Genomic DNA, 26,100 nt, shown 5'->3' with positions numbered 1-26,100 from the left:
CCAAGGCATGAAGAGGCCATGCAGTAGTTTGAGGGAAGTTTTCCATAGTGTGCCTGTCAAGCCCAAGGAAGCCTGAGAATGCTGTCATCACAGGAGGGAGAGGACCCCAGACACCCAGAGGCCTTTCCTGTGACAAGCCGGGCCTTGGGCACAGCGAGCCAGAGAACCTTCTCTTTCGTTGTCACCCCCACCCCGGGCACCTTGACTTCCAGCCACTCCTCCAACAGGTCAGGCACATGCCTTCCTCCTGGTTTTTGCAAATACTGTTCCTGCTACTGAGAGCACTGTTCCCTGGGCACCAGTCTCACTCCTTCCTTCACCTTGTCAGTTGTGTGCCCAAATGCTCCCTTCTCAGGGAGGCCTCCCGATTGCCCTATTAAAAAATCACGACCCCCCTCCCCAGCACTCCCTTCCCTGTGCCGGCTTCATTTTTCTCTATAGTATCTCTTACCACTTGAGACACTATCTATTTTACTTTATTTGTCCATCTCCCCTTCCAGAATGTAAGCTCTATAAGGGAAGGGAGTTTTGCCTGTCTAGTTCTGTATCTGGAGTGTCTAGACCAGAGCCTGGCCTGAGGGAAGTGGCAATCAATTATTCCACAAAGTAATGAACTTCCCCATCACAGCCCGGCCTATGAACGGCATCTCTGCCGTGACCACCTAATGCCAAAGACACCAGGGGAGATTTTGTCAGAGACCAGCTGGGCTACCCAAGCCTGCTCAGAAGTGACTTGAGCCCGTCTAAGAGAAACTGGTAAGGAACTGGTTAACAAGCCATGTATTACTAGAAATGGCAGCACCAAGATTCTTCACTTCATGCTCCCCCACACCTGCACAAAACCATATTGCTGCTACCTGTGGATGCTTATTGATTCTGTCACTGCCCTCTTGGGCCATGTTCCTGAAAGGCTCTCTGAAGTCAAGTATATGACACCGTTGGATGTAACCTAAGGAAGGTATTTTCCATGTCAGATGAGAACTGGGCGGTCATAGATTCTGCAACATCCCATTCCTCTGGCACCCTGAAGCCATGATGAGCAAATGCTGGGTAAAGGAAGAAGCCCAGACAGGACATGATCAGGGCACAGGACAAGTGAAAGGAGACTCAGTCACATGTGGCCTGGACCTGATTTGGCTGAGCTCAGTTTGCTCAACGTAGAGCTGCTCCTACCCAGTCCCACTGCCCTGGGGCCAGGACTCTTGAGCTCACCTATGTTGCCAGGCTTCACACCAGGGGACTGACAGAAGCCCTCTGCTCTGTGGTCACTCCACAGACAAGAGTGGGGACGGGGAGGGGTGGTGGCAGTGGACTTCTTTCTCCCAGTGAACTTGTAAATTCTGTCTGCTATAAACTAGATTACTTTCCCAAGATGAAGGCAGCAGTGGGTAACAGAAACACAGGTGGTAAAGCGCTGTGGCATCAGAACTTGGAATTCCAGCTCTGCCACTCAGCTGGATAATCTTGGGCGATCTCTTAACCTCTCTGAGTCTGTTTCCTCATCTGTAAAATGGGATAACCACAGCATCTGCTTTACTGGGAGGCTGTGAGGATGAAATCTGATCATTCCTGTGTGCTGAACCCAGCACCTGGCATGCAGTGAGAGCTCCATGTTAGATCTTGTTGCTGCTGTTGTAAAATAAAGGGAGAAAGGAAGTCAGCCCCTAGCCACTTGCTCAGGCTGGCTGGAGACCTCCAAGGTTATCAGAGTCCTGAGGCAGTTGGATTTCCAGTAATTAAGGGAGTAGAAATACAGCCTTTCTCCTTTGGGTTTCAGACTGATGTAGACTCAAGCAAAACTAGCCTGGATGGAAACTTTTCAGTGGCCATGGGAATTATTCCAAAGAGGGGCTGCCTGGGCTAAAAGTGTGACTCTGGAAAAGGAGGAAATGGAACCCTAAAGCCACTAAATCCCCGAGTTTATAATTAACAGACAAGCATTCGCTCTGCCTGTTCTGGAGCCATGTGGCTCGCCGGGGAAGGGCACCGTAGTCACACAAAAATAACCCCCCAGTGGGTTTTTGATGTGTTGAGCCTCTTTGTTTTTCTGAATTTTAATGAAGGGCTTTCCAGGCAGGATAACAGAAGCACTCAGCGCTCCCTATGGCCGGGGAGTGGGCCTTAGTTAGCTGCTGCCAGCCTAACCCAAAGCCGCATCCAAGAGAAGCAGGCAGCGAAGGGGCTCTGTCCTCAGATAAGAAGTCTCAGGGAGGAAAAGAGAAAAACAAAAACAAAAGACAGCTCTGTTTAGGAGAAGGGTGGGACTCTGCTCCTGATCTCAGCACATCTTGGAACCAGGCGGTTATAATACTTGCAGCGGTGGAGATGGCTGCAACGTATCTAAAAGGATAAGGAGAAGGGAGGCCCAGGCTCTGTAAGAGAGGGCTTCCATGGAATTCTCAGGGCTGCTGGCTGGCCCCTTCCCATGAGAATCAGAAATGAGGCTCTGGGAACCTGTAGAAGCTTTTGGAGCTCAAGGCATGGACTGCAGGAAGAGGGGAGAAAGGAGAATATTGTCACAACAGCCACCAAACCCTGATGCGAGTGAAGAATGAGTCTCCTTATCCCTCCCGCCGCCTCCTCCCTCCGCTGCAGCTGCCTGGAAGCCTATGATGCAGGTGGCAGTGCTGCGTCACTAAGGTCACAAAGGGCCCAGAGCACCCACGGGAAGGGAGGCCCCGCCCCAGAACCCCAGCAGGCAACTGTTTGAAACCTCCCGAGAAGTGAACAGCTTTCAGTAGGAGTGCCCACTCCTTCTCCGCCTGAATCGAACTCTCCCACATGCTCCGCAACAAGGCCGCGAGTTCTGAGTTCCTATCAGCTGGTTTAAAAGCTGTTCTCCTTCACTTGTGATACATTTTCCAAGAAGAGACTGGAAAGAAATGGAGGAGATGGCACAGAATAAGCAATTTATTGCAATTGAATTATCCAATGTGGTTGACTGAATATAAATATTTTTATTACAAAATATTCCAGGTAAAAATTCGGAGCTGCTTACAAGCTTCTTTAGCTTTAAGCTCATTGCATTTCTTCATGTCTAGAGCATGGGTGACGGGCTCAGGTGTGCCTGGCCTGCCCCGCAGGGTCCTCCTTCTCCGTCTGCAGTGGGTCCCACTCAGTGAGGACCTCTGAGGACACCTCAGTGAACAGATGGTCCCAGTCCCAGCCGACATCATCCTGCCAAGAAGGGTTTCGCTGGGTAAGACAAAGAAAGGCCTTTTCCCTCAACTGTAGCTGACTTCTCCCTCCCATCCAGGCCTCAGGGAGGCACAGGCCAGCCCGGGAGTCGGCTGGTTATGGGAATGCCAGAGCTGAGAGACCGGGGAATTGCTGCCACCACTGTACCTCCCGGACTTCGTGCTCCGGCGCGAGCACTTTGGTGAGGAGTTTCAGGTCGATCTCCCCATCCTGTGAATGCAAACAAAAAAAGGTCAGGCTGAGCACCTTGAGGGCTTTCAGGCAACTCTTTCTCACAAAACCGGGATCAGTTTTTGTGTGTCAGAACTTCCCAAACTGAGACCTGCAGGAATGCCTTCACAAGAGAGTAAAATCATGAATGAACCACATGCCCACTGAGAAATGAGGGAAGGCTATGCTTCCCACATGCTGGGCGTGCTTTGGGGCAAAGGACCATACCAGGAGGACCGAGTGTGACAGCAGTACAGCCACAGGGACAGAGGGGAGTGGGGTGCCATCAGGTGCCAAGTGGGCAGCCATGGAGGCAGGTGGGAGCCTGGCACTGAGAAACACTGTACTATGTTGGGTCCAGGGTTGCTGTGAGATGAATGATGATAAAACCTGCAGCAGAGGTATGGGTGCCAGGCAGGCAGCCTCAGGGGACTGGTGGAGGCGCTGTATAGCTTGGGAGGAACTGAGAAATCTCTACGGATTGAAGCCCATTGCTTGGAGCCCGCCTCTCTATGCAGAAGCTGTTCCACTCACCAGTGTCTGAATGGCTGAGTACTTCATGAGGTCATTGTCCAGGTCACGGTAGGTCATCACCCGCTTTATCTGGATGCTGAAGGAAAGAGAGAGCGAGAGGCGGGAACCCCAGGCAGGACCTGTTCCAGGAGTGCTGCCGGGCCACCGTCCCCAGAACCTTGTATACAGCAGGGGATGACCAGAATGGGAATAACAAAATGGGAACCCTGGATGGAGCCCAACACCAGAAAGATCCAGATTGACATCAAGGTCCACTATAGATGATATCTGGAGTGTATTAATTCACGTGTTCTTTGCCTCCCCAATCATATCTGATTTAACCTACCTGGGAGGGGCTGCCACCTGCAAAACAAAGTCTTCTTCCTGTACTTCCTCCAGATCCGGAATGATAGGAATATCTGCAAGGAGAGGCAGAGGCAACACTGTCTGCAGAACTCATAGGGATTGTGCCTGCTTCTCCACTTCTTACTCATTCCCCTTCAACACACCAGCCATGGGGCTGTGGGCTGGGGCAGGAAGGACACTCAGATACAAACTAGGGGTAGGATCAAAGGTGGAGTTTCAACGATGTCTGAATCCCAGGCCTCATTCCAGAACCTGCTGAGATAGAACCTCCTGGGTCACGCTCAAGCATCCAGATTTTTTTCCCAGGCGTTCCTTGGTGATTCTGACGCGTGCAACAGGTTAGAAGCCACTGCAGTGGATCTCCAAGGAGAAATGTAAAGAAATAAATGTAACAAAGGGCTTATTAGAGGAAAGAAGAGGAACTGACAAGTGAGCCTGGCATGGTCAGAGACAGAGGAACTGAGAACATGTAGTGTCACAAAGCGGATGCCGCAGTGAGTGCCACTCCTCATGACCCAGATCTCTATGTGCATTAGCCCCGCAGTGCAATCATCAGGGCCCTCAGCCTGCATCTCAAGGGCATCTTCCATCTAATGACATAGCCTGACTCCCTGGGATCCAGGCGTCCATTTGCCAGGTCTAATGTAATCAGGGATGCTGATTCTACAATCATGCTTTTCTTGCTGTCTCAAGATTTTCCATCTCTGAACTCTCCAGACAACATACGAGGAGACACGAGGCCATTTCTTCCACCAGTCCAACAAAATCATGCAAACAGAGAACTGGGAAACCAGTCCATCCCTTAATTGTGGCAACTTGCTTAAGTGACCAAAAATTGTCCATGTTCTCATGGGTCAACCTAACATCCTAAAGAAACATTTCCTTCTCCAAGTGAGTATCACTGACTGGTTGAGACATTTTGTTTTAAACGGTCAGGGGTGGGGGAGAAGGGAGGGATGGTGCAAGAAAAAAGGCCTGGTGGGGTGAGACAGTCCTGGAATTCCCAAAGCAACTGTAAACACGGAAAGAAGGAGAAATCCCAAAGGTAGACTGGTGAAGACATCTTTCATTTCTGCTTTCATGGACTGAATTCAATCTTAGTTTTCAAAGAGGTGCAAATCATTTCAACAACAGCTGAGAAGGCCCTTGCCACTTTCAGGCAATTCGTGATTTCGACTTTTGATCACTCTAGTCAAGTGACGCCAGAGGATGGAAATGTCAGTTCCAAGCCTGGTGTCTTTATTATGACTTCCGACTGTGGAGGCACAGATGTTGTACCTGGAAAAAGAGAGCATGCAAAGGAGAGACAGACACAGAGAAAATTCAACAGAAAGAGACAGGCAGAGAAAACAAGGGATAAAAAGAGTGAAAAGGGATAAAAATAGAAAGAAATTGCTGCTAGGGAAAATAAAGCAGAGACACATCCACCACCCCCCAAATAATGAACCACATTTAGCAAGTCTTATAGCTAGAAAGAAGCTGTTCAGAGCTTAGATTATATCTCTCTATCCTGCTAGAGAATTGGAGATGGAATGCTCTAAGATTCTATTTCTTATGCTAATAGAAATTTAGCTTTCTTTTTCCCTCTCGTTCTACGTGATTAATACAGTCCATTGTGCAGGCTGCTGAGAATGCCGTTCCCCAGGCTGGTAAGACTGCACAGGCCCTATGGAGGGACAGAGAGGAAGCTGGCTGTGCCACGCACCATCGGCAGTGTGACAGTTTTGGAGTGTGCCTGGCTCTCCTCGGGTGCAGAATCCAGCCTGAGATGAATATTCAGAAGTTGGTAAGAAAATGCACTGTGCTGAGTTTAGGGCTCAGGACAGGGTCTTCCCAAACTCCCCTTTCCCTCCACAACTTTAGCATTTGGGTCCTGTCAACTCTGCCCAGCGTCTTGGGGCTCTGAGGAATTGCACTTCTGCCCGATGTCCACTCTCACTCCCCACAGGCTTCCCTCTTCGTCCCCAACCCCCTCCTCCAAATGTGCACAAAGAGTGTGGGGCTGGCCCATCTGTGACAGATCAGAGGTCAGCTCGGGCCTTGGCAAAGGGGCTGCTCAGAGCGGCGCTGGTGGGGCTGGCCACACAGTGGGATTTCTCTCTAATTGGAAGCCTGGTGCCCAGCAGAACCCGGTGAACCGCCTGAGTGGGACAGAGCCAGCGATGACAGCCAGGCCAAGGCAAGCTGGAACATTCTTGTGCAGTGACAGCTTGAGCCATCGCAGCAGAGGCAGGCCATCCAACTCCGGCCCCCAGCAGAACAGGTGTCTGCAGAGCAGGTTTTGGGCAAACTTCAAAGAACTTCACAATTTTACAGTTTCTGATTTACAATCACAGGCAAGTGCTCATGAGCACATAATATGTTCTGGGGAATTTTTTTTTTCTTTTTATCTCCTTCCCCCCTCCCCACTCCCCCACTCTCACGTATACCATGAACGAACACAGAAAAAAGAAAATAGACTTAGGAAACTAGCTTCTTCACAAAATTACCTATGAGCAGTGATCCGGCCTGCCTCCAGTAAGAGACAGTGGCGACCTGCAAAGGTGGACTGGTGATGTAGCCTGATTCAGGTTGTAAAGTCTGACATGCAAAGCACACGATTTTAACAGAGACAATACAAGGAAGACAGGAGTCGGTTCTGGTACTTTTGAAAAGCAACCACCATTTTAAAAAATCCAAAAATTATGTTTATTTTATTTTCCTTTTCTTCAATGTTGCTAAAACGGAGAAGAACATGAACAGCTGCAATGAGGTCAGGGGCATGCCATGTAGAACTCCTTGCTCCATGGTTAAGAAGCAGGCTCTGGAGGAAGGAGGGTCCACTCCAAATCCCGGCTCCACGACCTACTAGTTGTGTGACTTTTTCTCTCTATGCCTCAATTTCTTCATCAATAAAATGAAGATCAGACTCACGCCCACCCAGTCAGTTGCTGTATTAAATGCAATGATCTTTATGAAATACTAGCACTGTGATCAGTATATAATATTCAATAACCATTCTTATGGACTTCACCGATATTATAATATTACATATGTAGAGAAACTACATGGCTCCACCTTCATTTTCTCCTGCCCAGTGATGGCCATTTTCAGAAGAGAACACTGAGGCTAAGCAAGATTAAGCAGCTTGCATGGAGTGAATCTATGAGTAATGGACTTCAATGTGGCTGCGATGCCTGAGCCCTGCCATGCCCCACATGGGCTTTCTTCTCAAAAGTGAAATGCCTTCAAAGACGCCTCCTCCTATAGTGAAGGGGTGAGACAGCTGCCCATGGTCGAGACAGCTTTCACGTAATGTCCTGTGAAACTTAATGTCCTCTCTTCTGGGGTCTTTCTCTCGATTCCAATAACTAGAGATATGCTAAGTCCTCTCCCTTACCATACACCCTGACTCGCTACTTCTCTACAAGGCTAAATGGGGCAGAATGGAAAAAAGGCACCACATCAGAGTCCCAGAGACTCCACCTCCACCAACCCTATCTTATTAAACTAGCCCCAAGGAGGAGGAGGTGGCCAGGCACCTTGAAAAGCCCGAGGAGGGGAAGGTGAGGTAAGAGGGCTGTGACACCCCCGGCACCATGGGAGCCGGTATCCCCAGCTTCCCCGGCAGGCAGTGCCACCGTCACACGGCCGCACTGCTCTCTGCCCCAGCTCTGATGCTTAAACAGAAGACTCCTTCCTTGCCTTGTGCACTGCTCCCTGCCTTGACGTTGGCTATCTCACAGCTGTTCAACCTGCTTCTCTGTCCCACGTGGGGCCTGGTCAGCCACGCTGTGAGGAAACTCCATCTGTCTGCTTGTTCATTCATTCTTTCATTCATTTGTTCAAGGATACTGATGGAACACCCACTATGTGAAAGGTACCATGCCAGTAACAACAGCAAATAAAATAGACATGGTCCCTGTCTTCATGGGGCACCAGTCTGGTGGAGGCTAATAAACACAAAGAAAGGTACTGCTTACAAATTAAAATACACACAAAGAAGGAAACCAACTGGATTTCATGATGGAAAGCAACAGGGAAACCTAATTATTTTTCTAAAACAAAAGTAACATTATAGGTAGTAATAAATTCAAATGCTATAGAAAGGTTTAAAATGAAAAATGTCCCTTCCGTGAGACCCAGTCATCTCCCTAGAAGTAATCACTGTTAACGATTTTTTCATATTTATTTGCTGAAAAGAATTCGCAAATAACACAGCACATATGTCCTTTTAAAAATGCTCACAGATGGGATCACACTACACAGACACTGTTCTGCACCTTGCTTGTATCTTTCCTTATCAACATATAGATGTATTTTACTTCTTTTAAATGACCTTCTAATATTCTATTGAACACTGCTCCACAATGCATTTAATCTAGTCCAGAGAGGATTTAATTTGGGGGTGTGGGATTAGGGTTAGTAGGGTTAGGGTTGAGGAGTTAAAGAAGGAAGAATACGTATTTCTGCATTGAGGACAGGGCAGCTGAAGCTGAAGGAGAATCAGGATTCAGCCAGGCGGGGAACAACATGTGCAAAGGTGCTCGGCGGTGAGAAGTAACTGGAAACACTGGAGAGACTGAAGGCGGGACGTTGTGGTTGGGCTATGCCAGATCCCTTCCAAGGCATGATGGGGGGAAATCCAGAGGGAGTAAGCAGGATAGAAAATGCATGTCTCTTCCTTAGTGGATCACTTCTGAATCTAACAAGCAGAAATAAGAGCTTCCTACTTTATCCTTCCATAATACTTTATTCGTGGCCACAGGGTAGCCCTCACTACCTTGTAGGAGGTAGAATCCATGAAATTTGCCCCAAGTCTGCCCCCTGGATGGTGAACTAGCTGACAGCAATGCCACATCCCAGGCATCTGTGCATTCCAAGGACTGGAAAAATTAGGAACAACTGAATAGAACTGCATTCAACAGATGCTCCTCAGGTCAGGAAGTGACACACACAGAAGAGCCATGTCAACCTTCTCTACTTCTCTACATTGTTCCAGTTAGAATCGCTACTGAGTCCTAAAGCTGCCTGAGTAGGATTCATTTCACAAGAACAAATAAGAGTAATCCTTGGCTACTTCCTGGATTTGATAACATCATAGCAAAGACTTTGGCTTCCTTCAGAGCTGCAAGGCCCCCTGGGAGAGCCCTGTGCATATCCAAGAAACAAGGGATGTGTGGAGACAAAGTTTCAGAGGAAGAGTCATTCAAACTTGGTCCAGTATGGCCCATCTGGCTTCCAACCTGAGGCTGGGTCACACTGCTTTTCACCAATCTCCACATTCTGGAACCACCCAACAGAGGCTTATTAACGCACAGCAACAGCAGTACAAATCTATTTCAAAAAGAGAGATTGCCAAATGGGAAACCCATTTTGATACTAGATCACTACTCTGCCGACACCCAACACATCTACCCAAAAAATCGTTCAGCAGATGATACCACAGAAATAAATGGGTGCTGCCTAAATAAATAGAAACTTATAGAATACCAATAGATCAATTACAACTGGTTTCAAAGATGTGAGCTGTTGGATGTGAGGGCAACTGCCATTTGGCCTGAAATACATTCATTACGGATAATATCATCACATGCGCACACTAAAATGCTAATTACCTAGCAAAGTCCCAGAAGGATCCTTTTCAGTTCCCGTAGACTGACAGTCAAAAGCCTACCTGCCTCTTCCAATGAAGCCAGCCCCAAATCTCTGTGATGCGTTTTGTGATAGCATGCGTTCAGATCCAGCTGTTGTTTGCCTGTTTGGGTACCGCTAGAACAGAAAGTGACTTCTTAGATTGGACTCAGCTTGCAATGAGTATACCCCAAGCACTACCCAGCTCTTCACCTGGAGTATAAATCTAACTCCAGCAGGGAGAGAACAAAGGAGACACCCCAATCTGGCCCCTGGGTCCCACCCAGGCAGAGATGCCTCAGGCAGGGAGCTTTTTCCTCTCTGTAACCCTTAACTCTTTGCTAATTTTCTTGGTTGGGGATTTCTGAATAGGATTCCCTGGTCATGTTCAGAAGGGCTTCTAGAGAACTACATAAAGTCTCTTCTGTACTCCAGCACTTTCTCACCTTGACATCTGAGCGAATGATACAAACGGTTGGCTTAGCTTTCCAGCTTCCTCAGGGTGCTTAATGATGACACCACCCCACTCCATTTACTCAGTGAGCTTCCAAAGGCAAATGCCGTTTGGTTACACACAATCTCTTCCCAAATTTCTTTCCCACTCAGTGCCCTGGCCACTGCAGAGCACTCACAGGCTGCTCAAGGCTCATATCCACCATACACAGCCAAGTTCAACAACCAATCCACATGAAAGCGATCTGGACATGCTGCTTAAGGACACCCCAATAAGAGCAGTCCAGACAAACCCCTGATTCTGTGTGCAAAGTCAACAGACATTCAGAGCTCTCAAGTGCAAGAAAACAATGCCCGTGTTTTTAGGAGATGACAACTTAAAACCAGAGATCATTATAATTTTTCTCTGCAGCTACAAAACTTTGTTTTACTGAATGCTGTTACCTTCTGCATCACGTATGGGGAATTTTAAACAGGCAAATGGAAGAAGGTCTGATTGAAGATGAAGTTAAGTGAAAGAAATTGGTCTCATTTAGCACATGACAGGATTCATCTGTGTTCCCAAGTCCACTGAGGTGGCATCATGGGCGTTTCATATTCATGAGCTGCTGCGACACTATGTCCCCTCATTTACAAAGAGCCGTGTTCAGCAAATTCTGTCCCTGTGGACACTCCATGCATTTCATGGTCTTGTCAGAGAGACATCAAACGCTCCAGTAACCAAATACCAGAAAATGGCTTTAATTAGTGGATCTCAATCGTATAAATAATTTTTTTCTAAGTCAAAAAATGGAGAATTTTTTAAAAGGGAAAAGAAAAGGGAAAGCAGGAGGCAACAGGCTTCAAACACCCAAAGGAACAAGGGAAAGAGGCAGTCTCAGAGGAGCTCCCGAGCGGTCCCCTGCACTCCTCGAATCAGGGGAAAAGGGGCACAAACACGTCTCAGGTCTCTAGCAGGTCTGCTTTATGAAGATGTGTCCCTTGTGATTTCACCTGATTAGAGCTGGGTCCAGGGCTGTGCTCGTTACTGGCAGGTAGGAGAAAAAGAGTCTGAAAACTGCGACAGTGGCTACGGAGCCATGCTGCAAAAGGTGTGGAACAGGACTGACCATACGCAGCATGCGTGTGGCCCTGCAGACACAGCGGGGCATATGGTCAGGAGCCATGCAGGAGCAGGTCCCTGAGGAGGCATGCGATGGGGAGACAGAGAGAGGAGGCCCTGTTCTGCAGTGCCAGTTTGGGGTGCCCATACGTTGAAATGCCTCCATGCTCCTCCAAACTGAATCTCTCCTGATACTGCTGGGGAAAAAAGATCACAGACCTTAAGAGGAGGAAGATCAAAATAGCTGACTGCTCCTCACAGCCCCCTAAGCTGTGACAGCTCTCTTGGCTGACAATGGGTTGGGGAGGGGGGTTTGGACTGAGTTTGGTTTCTGAGGTCAGTCAGGCCTCAGCACAGTTGTGATCTGGCTGGATCTTCAGCAAAGAAGGGGGTTTACAAGCACGTCGACTTGGCTCTGGAGACACTATGGTGTATGAATGCTGGACCTCATTATGTTACCCACAGAGGGATGTTAGCATGTTTCTGAAGGAGCCACGAATGTCATCCCCTAGACAGCAATGTTCCTGTCATCCCACCCAGGTCCACTGAAGGTTATACAAGAATCAGTATTGGCAATGCAAGGTGGCAGCAGCCAGGACTCAGCCTTGCAGGCCTGAGAGTCAGGCAGTGCCCTGAGAGGACTCTCTATAGGGAAGAGTCTAGCAGTCTCAGATGACCCCATTCTGAAGAGGACCCTGGCGTCACCTGCCCAGGTGACCTTTAGGGAGTATGGCCCGCTGGATACTGTCAATTGAAGGAAACGAAGAACGGAGTCCTGCAGTAGCTCTCTCAGAGCCTCGTGGAGGTCCCAGCTTTCATCTGTGGAAATGTGTTAAGGACAAGGAGGGGTAAAGGACTTTAAACGTGATGAAGAAATAAAGTGGCTAGAAGGAACGGAAGCTGAGGAACTCTCCACTCTCTTCAATAAGGCCCAAGATGAGTGATCTGGTATTAATGTGACAGAGAGCACCTTCTCAGAGCCGCCAGTGGAAGAACATTAGAAACCAGGCATATCTGATTCTATTTCATCCTCTTCATGTTACACTGAGAAAAACAAGACAAACTACACTGCTTTTATTCTAAATCCTTAGGTTTTGTATTTTTCCTTATATATATTTATTAAAAAAATGCTCCTTTGATCAGTGCCACCCGTGACACCCCCACATACGGAATGCTTCTGAGCGGCTCCCTCTGCACAAGGCCACTGCTGGTGACAGCCAGCTGGTTTTGATCACAGCCACTCGGAATCGAATTTTCATAAGACAGATGAGGAGTCTTACTGCTGCTCGCTCTCTTATCAGATGAGAAACGGGGGGAGGGGGAGAACGGGTCCTGAGGGAGCAGCACAACAATCAAGGGCGGCGGGGCTCTTTCTCTGTCCCTCCGCTGCTGCAATTTTCAAAGGAGTTCGCCTTGGGCACTTTTAAATGATGGTGTCTCAATTCTGTAATCATCTTTCAAGAGCTTTCTCTTGAAGGGTCTTTTAGGTAAACCTAGTCTGTCAACCACACTTTTGGACTCAGGAATCACATTGTGTCCTCCTGCATGTGTATATAGACAAGTACACACACACAGAGATGTGTGCACATGCGCACACACACACCGGACATCTCTGAATGTTCAGAAAGCTGGTAGAGCCTAAAGCACGAAAGGAAAACGCGTCACTTGGCCATGAAGTTTGCCTCTTGCGAGGGTCAGAGGATTCCCTATTACCTCTTCCCCAGATTTCTGCCCTATGTAGGTTTTGCTGCCTCAAGTCCTCCTTTAGAAACTTATCTCCATGTGTGATGTGTCAGAAGGAAAAGACTTCTCCAACTGAGGGCCAAGTGACGTCCTAAGTCCAACTTCAGATGCACAAACATGCCTGTCCCTTCCCATCTCACCTAGGCAACAGCTACCTGCCAGCCTTCAAACGGAGAAATGAACCACAGCCTTCTATTTAGGAAAGCACAGACAGTCACCAGTCATCCCAGGCCACAACCTGCTGTGTTCTGGGTTACAAAGACTGGAGCAACTCTACAACTCCACCTATCTTTTTCCATTGCAGAGAACATGGTGCCTTTTCTTTGTATAGTCCCTGTCACTGGAAACAGACACCCTAGAATACTGAGCCTCTCTTTCTTTCTGGTCAAATAAAAATCAAAGCAGTCTAAGATCTCCCTGGGCAGTGGTCCTCATCCATCTAAGGCCACTCTCCTGCTCGCATCCTCATTCACCCGCTCCTGTCACAACTGTGTGGAGGTGGAGAAGTGCTCGTGCCTCTTCCTGAAAGCTGAAACACCATGTACAGTCACATGTGGGACAGTCTCACAAAACTAAATGGGATTGGCTTTGTCCTATCCTGATCCTGTCTTCTGTATTAAATGGGGACAGAATCCAAGGAGTTACAGCATACAAACCCTGATCTCTATAATGATTCTGGGGAGATTTAACTCTCTTTTACTTTTGTCAGTGCTGAATGCTGGATGATTTGCTATTAATCACAATCCTCCTAACAGACTATAGCATGACAGAATGCTGACAGAGCTTTCTCTCTGTGTTCCTGGAGGAAGGTTAATACAACCTGCTTCGTTTAAAACATGCACGCGTGCACAAGACTTCCATTTTCATTCTTCACATTCTACCTCTTCAGATGCATGCAAGCAAGCTGCTCACATAACAAGGAAAATGGAATCCCGGAGACGTTACTACTATCAACCTTGTTTTGAGCAGGGATGTTCGTGATGGTATGTTTGGAAAGTCTGGTGTGACCCAGACATTTCAGGGCATAGTTAGGGACTCTGGCCTAGCCCTGCCAATGCAAGAGGAGGTCTGGTCAAGTCTCATGGCCCAGTGATGCTCTGCGGAATTTCAGTTCTCACCAAACCTCCCAAACTCTCCAATACTCACACTGCAATCTGTACAAGCCCAGTGAAACTCCTCCAGCCCTAAAATAGGTTCTCCCCTCTGGAGGATTTAGCACGGGCACTCTTGAACTCATCATGTAAAAGTACTCTCCATGGATTTGATGGAAAAAAGAGAGGAATGGTCAAACCTGAAGATTCTGCTTCATGTCACAAGAGCTATAAAGACCTGGTCTCTTGTGTTTGTCTCTAGCCAGCCCAGGCCCTGCTGTGGACAAGACTTGACAATGAGAGGAGCAACAGAACTGAGGACATGGCCAAGAAGTAAAGCTGAGAATCGCGATGGGGGAGCCGATATGCAACAGGAGGCTGGAAAACAGGTGGAGATGGGCCTCCTCCATAAGTAGGGCTGTGAGCAGGGGGGGTTAGGAGACACAAAGACCACGTCTGAGTCCCAGCACCACCATTTCCCAGCTGTGGTGTGCTGGAGCAGCTCGCACCAGCCCCAAAGAGCCACTCGCTAAATTCTTAGGAATTCTGCCTGCAGGTTGTCAAACAGAAACATGATTAAAGATGAAATTATACATTCTTATAATTAAATTATATTAAAAAGAAAGGTAATAAATACTCAAAACTCACCACTTCCTGAATTTTACTGTTTTCCTATTATCTGTGATCTTGAGGCTATGTGTGCCTATCGTGTACCTGTATGGAGGAAGTAAAGACCGTGTGATGGTGCTGCTGCCCATCTCTTCCCACCTCTGAAATCAGTGATGTCATGTTGGGAGTTTGAAATCAATCATGGTGGGAGTATTTACACCACAGGCTTGGCAAACACTACCAGTCAGGACCTTTCCCCGCACCTGGAGAGCACATCACTGCTTATTGGCCATGTGACCTCGATGAGTTATTTAACTTCATAAAGTTTTGGTTTCCTCCTCTGTAAGATGGTGAGAATCACTGTGTCTCCTTAGAATTGTGAGGATTAACTGAAGTACGGCAGGTAGAGCAGTCGGCATAACGCCTGGCTCACGGTAAACACAAATATTAATTACCAATATTATTTCCTACAAGAATGATTTTTCAAATTTCTTACCCAATATCCTGTAAACAGACCAACATTTAACAAAGCACTGAGACAAAAGAGAGGGCAGCTTAGTCCTTGGACCAGTAAGCACCAATCCACCTCACCCGGCCCCCGTTCCCACTATGGATGTGGAGTTCCTACACGCGCATGTGGTAGGAAAGGTTAGGGAGACTGAGAGAGACCTTAATGTCTAGGCCTAGTAACTCCGAACTTAGGAAAACAAATTGAGTTTAAGGAGTGTTATTTGATAAAACATCAGAAGTAGTGTGTTAGGCCATTCTTGCATTGCTATAAAAAAAATACTTGAAACTGTAATTTGTAAAGAAAAGAGATTTAATTGGCTCATGGTTCTACAGGCTGTGTAGGAAACACAGCGCCCTCTGCTTCTGGGGAGGCCTCAGGAAGCTTCCAATCATGGTGGAAAGTGAAGGGGGAGCAGGCACATCACATGGAGAAAGCAGGAGCAAGAGGGAGGGGTGGGGAGGCGCCACACACTTAAACAACCGGAACTCACTCACTAGCATGAGGACAGCGCCAAGGGGATGGTGCCAAACCATTCATGAGAAAGCCAGCCCCATAATCCAGTCACCTCACACTAGGCCCCACCTCCAATACTGGGGATTACAATTCAACTTGAGACTTGGGCGGGGACACATATCTAAATGATATCAAGTAGTTACGATCATTGTTTAAAAATTAGGGAGGCCAAGGAACCAGGTTTAGGAACCACCTAGGAAGTCTCATATGCTATATTAAGCCTAAGGAAGCAATGCCAACATAACGAAATGTTCTTACTAAGTGAGAGTGGAGTTGAGCCATCAGGGTTTCCATTGATTAGTTTTTAAAGAATTCTTTCTACTTTCTCTCTATGACAAAGCTGTTTCAGCTCAGAGTGACTCTGCTGTTTGAAGAAGAAGGGATGAAGGATATGCTGAAAGAATTAAGCAAAAAAATCTAGAGAGAGTCCAAAAGAGAGTTAGAAAGCCCAGAGACAGATGAATGGGAAGAGGGAGAGACAGGGGGACGACAGTCCTCTACAGATAGCATTTTTCTAATTCCATTGACAGCCTAGCATCTCACATCTCTTCCAGCCTCATTGCCTGGCTGTGTTCAGTCACTTTTACCTGTTTTCCCTGTTGACATGGATAGAAAATTGAGCAATTACCCTTAAACTCAGCACTTTCAGATCATCCAGATTGCTACACTTGCAGAATTAAGTCTTCAACTGCCCCTGGCTAGAAGTGGCTCAACCCAGCTTGTCCTTTAGGAATTAAACACTTTTTGGTTCGCCAGAAGGATTTATTATTCCTAAGGTTCTGAGGTATTCAATTCTGCCAAAACTGGACCTCAGGATGCAAAGGAGCACAGCCCTCTCCAGTGGGGGTGAGGCATGCCCAGGTGCCTGAGAGCTGGCAGCTGCCAGGAGGAGGGAGCTACAACTCCACTCAGTCTTGGGCTCTGCTAAAAGGCAATGGTTAAACACAAGACTGAGTCCTTTTTTTGGGCTCCTGTTTTCAGAGACTTTCTACTTTTTAAGGACATATTTTGGAGCTCACAAATTCTTTTGTAACTTGAATTTAGCTCTGAGATGAACTTTTGAAAGTTGAGTCCATATCTAATTGCATATTTAGAGATTATTCCACCTGAACATTCTTCATCTTTTTTAAAAGATAATTTGTTTGCTCCTGTCAGTGTGCCTCTCAATGCCCATCTTCAGTCTCACCTTCTATCCAGAGTTGACTTCCTGAGAATTGGGTGGTAGAGCTGGAAGAGACTAAGAAGGCCTGGAAGAGGTTAGAGAGGGGACATAACTTTGCACTTGCTGTCTCCTCTCCTCTCTAGGAGTCTCCTCCAGGGCCCCTGACTTCATACCCCCCTTTTCTGACAACTCTACTCTGCTCTCAAGTTGAAGTTTAAAAGTCATTTCTCCAGAGCGGCTTTCCCTCATCCCCCAGTCCAAATCAAGTCTCCATTCCCTTGGTGCTGTCCTCGAGATAGTGAATTCTGGTTGTTTTAAAAGTGTGTGGCGTCTCCCCTCCCTCTCTCTCTCTTGCTCCTGCTTTCGCCACGTGACGTGCCTGCTCCCCCTTTGCCTTCTGCCATGAGTGGAAGCTTCCTGAGGCCTCCCCAGAAGCAGATGCTGCTGTGCTTCCTGCACAGCCTGCAGAACCATGAGCCAGTTGAGCATCTTTTTCTTTATACATTGCCCAGTCTCAGGTATTTCTCTCACAGCACCCAGTGCACTCATCCTTCAGGGGACTCAGTCGCAGTTTGTCCTTACTTATTTTGCTGTGTGACTATTTGTTTAAGCCCTGTTTTCCTGAACAGATTGTAAACTGGATGAGGGTAAGGACAATGAATGTTCAGCTCATCATCACGTCCCCATGCTTAGCCCCATGCATCACAATCACACTCAGCAATATTCATCAAGGGGTTGTAAATGAACGAACAAATAAATGAACTAATGACTTGCCCAAAGTCACTTGTAGAGACTGAGTTCAAGCCTACTACAGATCTGATGTTCTTTCTCTAACACCATACAACTTTCCATGACAGAAGAAGTCTAAAGGACTTAGGGCAAGCTGGAAACTTGATTCCAAGAGCAAGAATGGATGATTATGCCACTGAAGGATGGTCATCTCAGTAAGACAGAGCAGTTTTGCCATCCTACAGTTTGAGGACCATGAGGTCATTTGGGGTTCTGGCTGTCCATCATTCTCCAGCTATTCTCCAGAATCATGAATCCCCACTTCCCTGAAGCATTGTGTCAGCTATAGTTGTGGGTAATTCTACCTAGAATCAGCAAATTAGGTGAGTGGCAATCTTCATAACTTAATCAAAAGCAGTTTATGTGGGGAGGATGAGTATTGTAGTTGGGAAAGGACCAGAATCAAGACCTATCTCTGCTGAATCAGCTTCTCTTCTGGTTACTATAAATTCCTTATTCATTCTCCATGTGGAGTCTCTTATGCTAGACATCCTTCCTTGGAAGGTCTTTCACATTCTTCTCTAGCTAGCCAACTCTTATCCATCCTTCAGGACCCAGCACATGCTCTTCCTTTCTCCTGAAGTGCTCTCAGCCCTCAGGGATCAGTTCCTCTTCTGAACTCATGGCCATTAGTAATGTAAGCCACTAACACAGGAATGACCATTTGCTGCCTTTGCCATCCACTAAACTGTTGTCAGCTATGGAACTTTTGCAGTGCCTTTTACCTTTTATGCCTTGTCCCCCCAACAAAGTTCTGTGCTCCTTCAGAGCAGTGCCCCACAAGGTCTGGTGAAGGATTTGCAAATCAGCTCCTAAAGGTCTAATCCAACTTGCAGATACATTTTGTTCTGCTTATAAAGTGTTTTTAAAAATTATTTCTGTCATTTTTAAAAACGTGAATTCGAAAAATTTTAAGCTATGCCAGGCATCTCCTCTCTGGGTTCACCACAGACCCCACCATCCTTTATTTTACATTTTTCTGTTTCACGGGTTTACGTCATCTGCCTGGCTTCTAGCAGAGTCTAAGCTGGTAGCCTGGTCATGGTCTTGTAAATAGTTCCCATATAGTACATTCTGGTTAAGCAATAGATCCCAAAGCCACCTCTGATGTCACTCACTCTCCATTTCTCATTCTGAAAACACACTTAATCTTCAAAGCGCCTTCTCTCTTTTTTTTTTTTTGAGAGAGTCTCACTCTGTCTCCCAGGCTGGAGTGCAGTGGTGAGTGCGGTAGTGCGATCTTGGCTCACTGCAACCTCCACCTTCTGGGTTCAAGTGATTCTCCTGCCTCAGCCTCCTGAGTAGCTTGGATTACAGGCGTGCACCACCACACACGACTAATTTTTTTTTTAATTTTTAGTAGAGACAAGATTTCACCATGTTGGCCAGGTTGGTCTCAAACTCCTGACCTCAGGTGATCCACCCACCTCGGTCTCCCAAAGTGCTGAGATTACAGGCGTGAGCCACTGTACCCGGCCTCTCTTCTATTTTTCTCTTCTCTTTTCTAGAAAGCCTGAAGCATCAATGGATGGAGAAAGTGCTTGTCTTCTATCCCTAGGCATCAGAGGTCTGGAAGAGAGCATGCATCTTCCCAAGGAAAGAATAAGCAACATGTACCACGGATGAAGCAAGGGAGGCTGAATGCTGAGCAATACACATAGAGAGAGACATGTCTCCTGAAAGTTGTCTATGAAAGACCGAAAGAAAGAGAAGGAAGGGCATTTCCTCACTGGATCAGAAGCTCCTGAAGGGCAAGGACTGTCTCATTCATCACTAACTCCAGCATCTAGAGCAATACAGTCCTCAGGAGGCGTTGGATGAAAAGTTGCTGGCTTTCCTCAATAAAGTCTAATCTCCAAGGCTGGTGGTGGAAGGAGACTGTCTACTGGGAAGGGGCCCTGACCTTAGATCCTCATTTCTATTCTTTAATATTCACACCTTGTCCTTTGGAATTGGTCACCAATCACATATCCCTACAAGTGTAAGAGAGTGATCAGCCCCTTCCTAAGTGATAGTGCTCCTTGCACAGACCACCTCAAAGAGCCTGGATGTGATTTTATTAGGAACCACTAGGTTTCCTTATAGTTGCCCAAAGATCTGCTTAATGTCATTGCTGAATGGACGTCCATGGATGATTCAGGGAAATCATTCCCGAGTTTCCCCACCCACTGGATATTCTAAGTTCAAAGGAGCAGCCTTCACTAGCCAACCAAGTAATTCTCTGAGCAAAGATAATTCTAGAAACTAGTTATATGTAACATATGATTCCTACTGCATAATGGATTCTAAACATTCATATACAGTGAAATGGACTAAGTCGAGTGTGAAGTGTAACATATGAACTGATTTTCCATTAAAGGACTCAAGCATAACTGCATGGAAAACAGATTTATGTTGGAGAAGAGGCATCCCTCCTGGAGGGTAAAAGCAGGAGCGCTCTCTGACAAGAAAGGGTTTTATGCTTCAAACCTCCAGGGCCAAAATAAAGGCCAAATTGCAAATTTCACATATCAAGTTTATGAAGGAGGAAAAAATACTAGAAGTATTCTTGAAAATAGGTATCTTTCTTCTTTCCTTCCTTAATGAAATTTTATTAAGCAGCCCATCAATCATTCTAGGCACTCTATATTACAAATCTGGAAGCTGACATTAATACAAACTACCTGTGGAAGGAGACGCCAGTGTATCTGAGAGTTGTACCATTTGTTAGAGCCTGGAGGCTAAGAACGAGGGCCCTGAGGTCAAGGTCCATATTCAGACCCTGGTGCTACCATTTATTAGTTGTGTGACCTTAGGTAAGGTTACCTTTCTTTGCCTTAGTCTGCTTTAAAATGGGGTTAATGAGCTGGGCACAGTGGCATATGCCTGTAGTCCGGCACTTCGGGAAACCGAGGTGGAAGGACTGGTTGAGCCCAGGAGTTTGAGGCCAGCCTGGGCAACATAGATCCCATCTCTTAAAATTTTTTAAAATAAATAATAAATTAAATGGAAATAATAAACAATCTAAATGTCTATCAACAACTGAACATACTGTGGTATGTCCATACAATGGAATACTATTCAGCAATGAAAATACACAGGCTAATGATGTATGCAACAGCTTAGATGAATCTCAAAATCATTACACTGAGTGAAAAAAAAAAGCCAGGTGCAAAAGAGTAAATACTTATGCTGTCATTTATATAAAATTCTAGAAACCACAAGCTACTCTATAGTATGAACAACACATTAGTAGTTTTCTGAGGCCAAGGGAGAGAGAGGAAGGATGGGCTGGAAGGGGCACGGAGGAACTTCTGGGTGATGGGAATGTTCTGTCTTGTGGCAGGGGTTTCACAGGTATATACATCTGTGAAAACCTAAATTGTATACTTTAATAAGGATATCGTTTATTGTATACAAACCAGGCCTTAGTAAAGTTGATTTTTCAAAACTTTCCTACTGATTTGTTTTGAGAAGTAAATGAGAGAAAATGTAGCTGGCATATGGTAAGTGTTTGGTAGTAAATGATGATGATGGTGATGTTGGTGGACACTGGGGCATGACAGCAGAGTGTCCTGGAAGTCAGAGGACCAGAGTTTCTCTCTTTGAGTCCTGTTATTTTATATAATAATCTCTGAACTTCACTTTCTTAACATGACAAAGGACAGGTCTGGACGAGATGTCCTAGAGAAGCTTAAAGGTGCAACAATTTGATCCTAAAGTGATGATGCCCCGATGGTGGCCAGTACAACTTTCTAATTCCATGTATTTATAACATGTGTAAACTTCAGTGCTCAGACGATTTTGCTATAACATTTAGCAGTTACTCCTTGAAATTTAGTATTTCCATGATGAAAAAAGTAGAGAAAGTAGAATTTCAGAAGTCTTTTCAAGGGAGTTGGGAATAGGTTTAAGGCAGGGTGGAGAAAAGCCTGGAGGAGAGTACAAGTCCAGATAATTCTATAGATTATCAATTTGTTTTCTCGTGTTTCCATTTAGAAGTTTCTGCCAAAGAACTCTAAAATCCTTTTTCCTGAGTTTAATGCTTTCTTACTTAAAACGCAAGTCTCTTGGTGCTTTGAACAAATACAAAACATGAGCAACTGGGGACTGAGGCTGTCCAAAGAAGACGTCCTGCAGGAAATAACTTGCCCTTTACTCACTTCTACACACCTTCAAGACTGGCCAGATCCTCACACTACAACTAACCAGCCTCCATTACCACTCTCCCTCATGCCGGTTCAAACCAGAGGCTCTAGAATCGTTGCTCTAGCATTACAATTTCCATGCACACTGCTCCTTAACCGCCTACCCACTTTGCTCACGTCTGGCAGACACTCTACCTCCTTCAGTCCTTGGGTACAACCTCTTGGATGGTCACCTTACTGTCCTATGCAACCAATGGCTGAAGAAGCAGTCTGCGATGACAGGCAGATTGCAAGTGTGACCAGCAGCCACCAATCTCTGAGGTGACAATTTAGCACTGGTAAAAGACATCTTAGGTACCTATCTAGGAAAACAGACTCTGAGAACAGAAATGCAAGATCTCATATTTAATATAGTCATTGGCAATTATTAGTGGGTGGAGAAGTCTAAAAGGAAGTTAGTGGGTAGTGCTAAGGAGGAAGATCTGTCATGAAGAGATACTGGAAAGCAAAGAAAAAGACTGGAGAATGATGAGAGTATGGTCTTACTAAATCTTAGAGTGTGGAGTGTTCTGACCTCTAATGACGACTCTTCCATCTTTATTGCCCCCCATCCCCTGCCCGGAATGAGATGAGGCAGAAGTACTTCTTCACAGGACTCCTGCCCTCGCTGGTCCTCAGTTCCTACAGAGTTGTCAAATATTCATCTGGGGAGCTTACTTAAATTCATGCAGACTCCCCAGCTCTAGCTTCTGATTAGTGCATGGCCTGGGATTATACATTTTAACCACCATCCCAGAATATTTCACAGATGTTCTTTCTGATCCTTTCCCTAGTCTTGTGATTATCAGAGAATTATCTAAGTTTTACAGACTGAATTCTCTTTGTGCAGTCACAAGCAAAGGTGTTCCAAAAAAAGGCTTTAAGACTCCATTTCCCGCCATGAGAGAGTATGTGGTACTAGACTTGCCCTTTTGCCATAAACAACTAGAAAACTGGAGGAAAAATACATGGTACTACTGTTTCCAGACACTGGATAATAAGCAGCCTAAGACTTTGATTCCTGAGAGCAGGAAAACAGATAAAGTAAGCCCTGGGTCACTAGAGGTCATTCCTGGACTTTGGCACAGCTTGGGGGAGCCCCACACATAGCACGAAGGTCTCACTGAGTTGAAGGGAGACTGAAGTTTAGTGGGGCTTAAGTGGCTGGAATTTTAGAAGCAAAGTCTGAAAGACTGGGGAGCTAATGGAGAGGAAAAGCTCTAGAAGTCCAGACCGACTGGATACTAAGCTGTGCCTCTGTAGGGTGAAACTCCACAAGCCTGGGCAGACTTGAGCACAACCTCCTTGACTTAGAGGGGGTTACGCATTATGATATTTCAGACGAGATCTGGCGCGTTCAGGGTGGTATGGCCATAGACTGCATTATGATATTTCAATAACTACTGAAAAGGTGTGAGCTAAACAATCCCCAGCACTTATACAGAACTGGAGGAGGCTCAGCTCCACTCAGCTGGAGTAGAGATCTTATTGAACAACCAGGCATTAGTGTTTAGGGCTAACTCTAGACCTGCCCTAATGAAGCTTTGAAACAATTCTCAAAATGCTCAAATTGATTTAAGAAAATATATTAACTGCTTACCAAAACAAACACAGATGTTCCACAATTTACAGTGGTTTGACTTAATGTATTTTCTTTTTTTTTTTTTTTTTTTTTTTTGAGATGGGATCTCACTCTGTTGCCCAGGCTGGAGTGCAGTGGTGCAAACTCCGCCTCACTGCAACCTCTGCCTCCCAGGTTCAAGTGATTCTCCTGCCTCAGCCTCCCGAGTAGCTGGGATTACAGGTGCCCGCCACCAGGCCCAGCTAATTTTTTGTATTTTTATAAGAGATGCGGTTTCGCCATGTTGGGCAGGCTGGTCTTGAATCCTGACCTCAGGCAATCCACCAGCCTCGGCCTCCCAAACTGCTGGGATTACAGGCATGAGCCACCGCGCCTGACTGACTTAACGCATTTTCAACTTTATGATGGTGCAAAAGCAATACACGTTCAATGTGGTCCTTGACTCAAGAGGGGGTTATGGATTATGATATTTTGATTTATGTTACAATATTTTCAACTCACAATGGGTTTATCCAGACTGTAAGTTGAAGAGTGTCTGTATATCAGTCTTTAAAGGAAGACAAGATCCAGACTCAACATAATGATATTCACAATGTCCAGCATCCAATCAAAACCTACTAATCATGTAAAGAAGCAGAAAAACAGGCCGGGCGCGGTGGCTCACACCTGTAATCCCAGCACTTTGGGAGGCTGAGGCAGGCGGATCACGAAGTCAGGAGATCGAGACCATCCTGGCTAACATGGTGAAACCCTGTCTCTATTAAAAATACAAAAAATTAGCTGGGCGTGGTGGCAGGCACCTGTAGTCCCAGCTACTTGGGAGGCTGAGGCAGGAGAATGGCATGAACCCAGGAGGCGGAGCTTGCAGTGAGCCGAGATACAGCCACTGCACTCCAGCCTAGGAAACAGAGTGAGACTCTGTTTAAAAAAAAAAAAAAGAAGCGGAAAAATATGACTTGTAACCAGAAGAAAAATCAGTTATAGAAACAGACTCAGAAAAGACAGATATAATGGAATTAGCAGCAAAAGAACATGAAAAGAGCTAGTACAGGCTGAGCATCCCTAATCTGAGAATCCAAAATGCTCTAAAATCCAAAACTTTTTGAGCACTGACATAATGCTCAAAGGAAATGTATATTGGAGGATTTCAGATTTTGGATTTTGGGATTTGGGATGCTCAACTAGATAAGCATAATGCAAATATGCCATAATCTGAAAAAAATCTGAACTCCGAAACACTTCTGGTCCTAAGCATTTTGGATAAGGGATACTCAGTCTATATAAAGGCTACTATCAAGGATGAAAGAAAACATACACAGAATGAGAAGATTAATGGAAGATATACAAAAGGAAACCAAATGGAGCTTCTAGAACTGAAAAAAATATGTGAAATAATAATCCACTAGATGGGCTTAAAAGCAGACTAGACATTGTAGAAGAAAAGACCAGTTACACAGCAATACAAACGATCCAAGTTGAAGCACTGAGAAAAAAAGTAGACTAAAAACAAAAAACACCAAGCCTCAATGACCTGTGGAGACAATTGTGTGGGCATACAAACTTGGAATTAGAAGGAGTGGGAGGGAAGAAAAATATATTTAAAGAAATATTGGCTAAGATTTTCTGAATCTGATGAAAACTATAAATCCACAGACTGAAGAAGTTCAAGTAGGATAAACACAAAGAAAACCACACCAAGGCATATTAGGAACAAATTGCTGAAAATAACTGATAATGGAGAAGAAATCTTAAAAGCAGATAGGGGGAAAGATACATTACATACAGGGGAACAAAGATAAGAATAATGATCGTCTTCTCATCAGAAACAATGTAGGCCAGGCGAGGTGGCTCACACCTATTACAGCGGGTGGATCACTTGAGGTCAGGAGTTTGAGACCAAACTGGCCAACATGGTAAAACTCTGTCTCTACTAAAAATACACAAATTAGCCAGGTGTGGTGGCATGTGACTGTAGTCCCAGCTAGTCAGGAGGCTGAGGCAGGAGAATTACTTAAACCCAGGAGGTGGAGGTTGCAGTGGGCCCAAGATCATGGCACTGCACTCCAGCCTGGACGATGGAGTGAGACCCTGTCTCAAAAAAAAGAAAGAAAAGAAAAGAGAGGGGAGGGGAGAGCAGGAAAAGGAAAGAAAAGAAGGAAGGAAGGAAGGAAGGAAGGAAGGAAGAAAGGGAGGGAGGGAGGAAGGGAGGGAAGAAAGAAAGAAGGCCAAAGACAATAAAATAACTATTTAAAATGCTAAAAGAAAAAAATTGTCAGCCTAGAATTCTGTGTCTGGTAAAAAGTTGAAGATGACATTTTCAGACAAATAAAGCAGACAGAATTTCTTGCCAGACAACCTGTTCTACAAAATAATGATAAAGTTTTTCAGGCTGAAGGAAACTGATGCCAGATAGAAACTAGGATCTACACAAACAAACAAGGAGTGTGAAAATTATAAATAAGTGTGTCTAAAAAAAAAA

General features: G+C 45.8%; 1 protein-coding gene and 1 long non-coding RNA gene across 5 annotated transcripts in view, besides 1 other annotated feature; one reads left to right on the top strand and one right to left on the bottom strand.

Annotated features, from left to right (window-relative positions):
- Positions 1,765-2,751: an enhancer, noted in NCBI's record as "NANOG-H3K4me1 hESC enhancer chr14:76550227-76551213 (GRCh37/hg19 assembly coordinates)". NCBI's record gives its function as "activates a minimal SCP1, AML or CMV promoter by ChIP-STARR-seq in naive H9 embryonic stem cells {active_cell/tissue: H9 hESC(naive)}" and the evidence as "EXISTENCE:reporter gene assay evidence [ECO:0000049][PMID:30033119]".
- Positions 2,562-26,100, bottom strand: part of IFT43 (intraflagellar transport 43) — a 98,311-nt gene continuing 74,772 nt past the window's right edge. For 2 of the 4 annotated variants that reach the window (NR_045665.2, NR_045664.2), the window contains 5 exons: positions 4,268-4,340; positions 3,943-4,018; positions 3,346-3,408; positions 2,999-3,177; positions 2,562-2,872 (listed from right to left, as the gene is read on the bottom strand). Coding sequence is in view for 2 of the 4 variants with exons in the window: in NM_052873.3 (NP_443105.2) it covers positions 3,058-3,177; positions 3,346-3,408; positions 3,943-4,018; positions 4,268-4,340; positions 9,944-10,038 (427 nt within the window). In the remaining 2 variants the exon portion in view is untranslated. Of the gene's footprint in view, positions 2,873-2,892; positions 3,178-3,345; positions 3,409-3,942; positions 4,019-4,267; positions 4,341-9,943; positions 10,039-26,100 lie in introns of those variants that run through there. The other 2 variants (NM_052873.3, NM_001102564.3) reach the window with 2 other exon arrangements.
- LOC105370573 (uncharacterized) lies at positions 5,982-7,199 on the top strand. Its single transcript, XR_007064270.1, has 2 exons — positions 5,982-6,073; positions 6,414-7,199. It is a non-coding gene; the product is annotated as an uncharacterized LOC105370573 (long non-coding RNA).

This window comes from Homo sapiens, chromosome 14, assembly GCF_000001405.40.
Source record: "Homo sapiens chromosome 14, GRCh38.p14 Primary Assembly".
Taxonomy (NCBI): Eukaryota; Metazoa; Chordata; class Mammalia; order Primates; family Hominidae; genus Homo; species Homo sapiens.
This window is presented reverse-complemented; position numbering and strand designations above follow the sequence as displayed.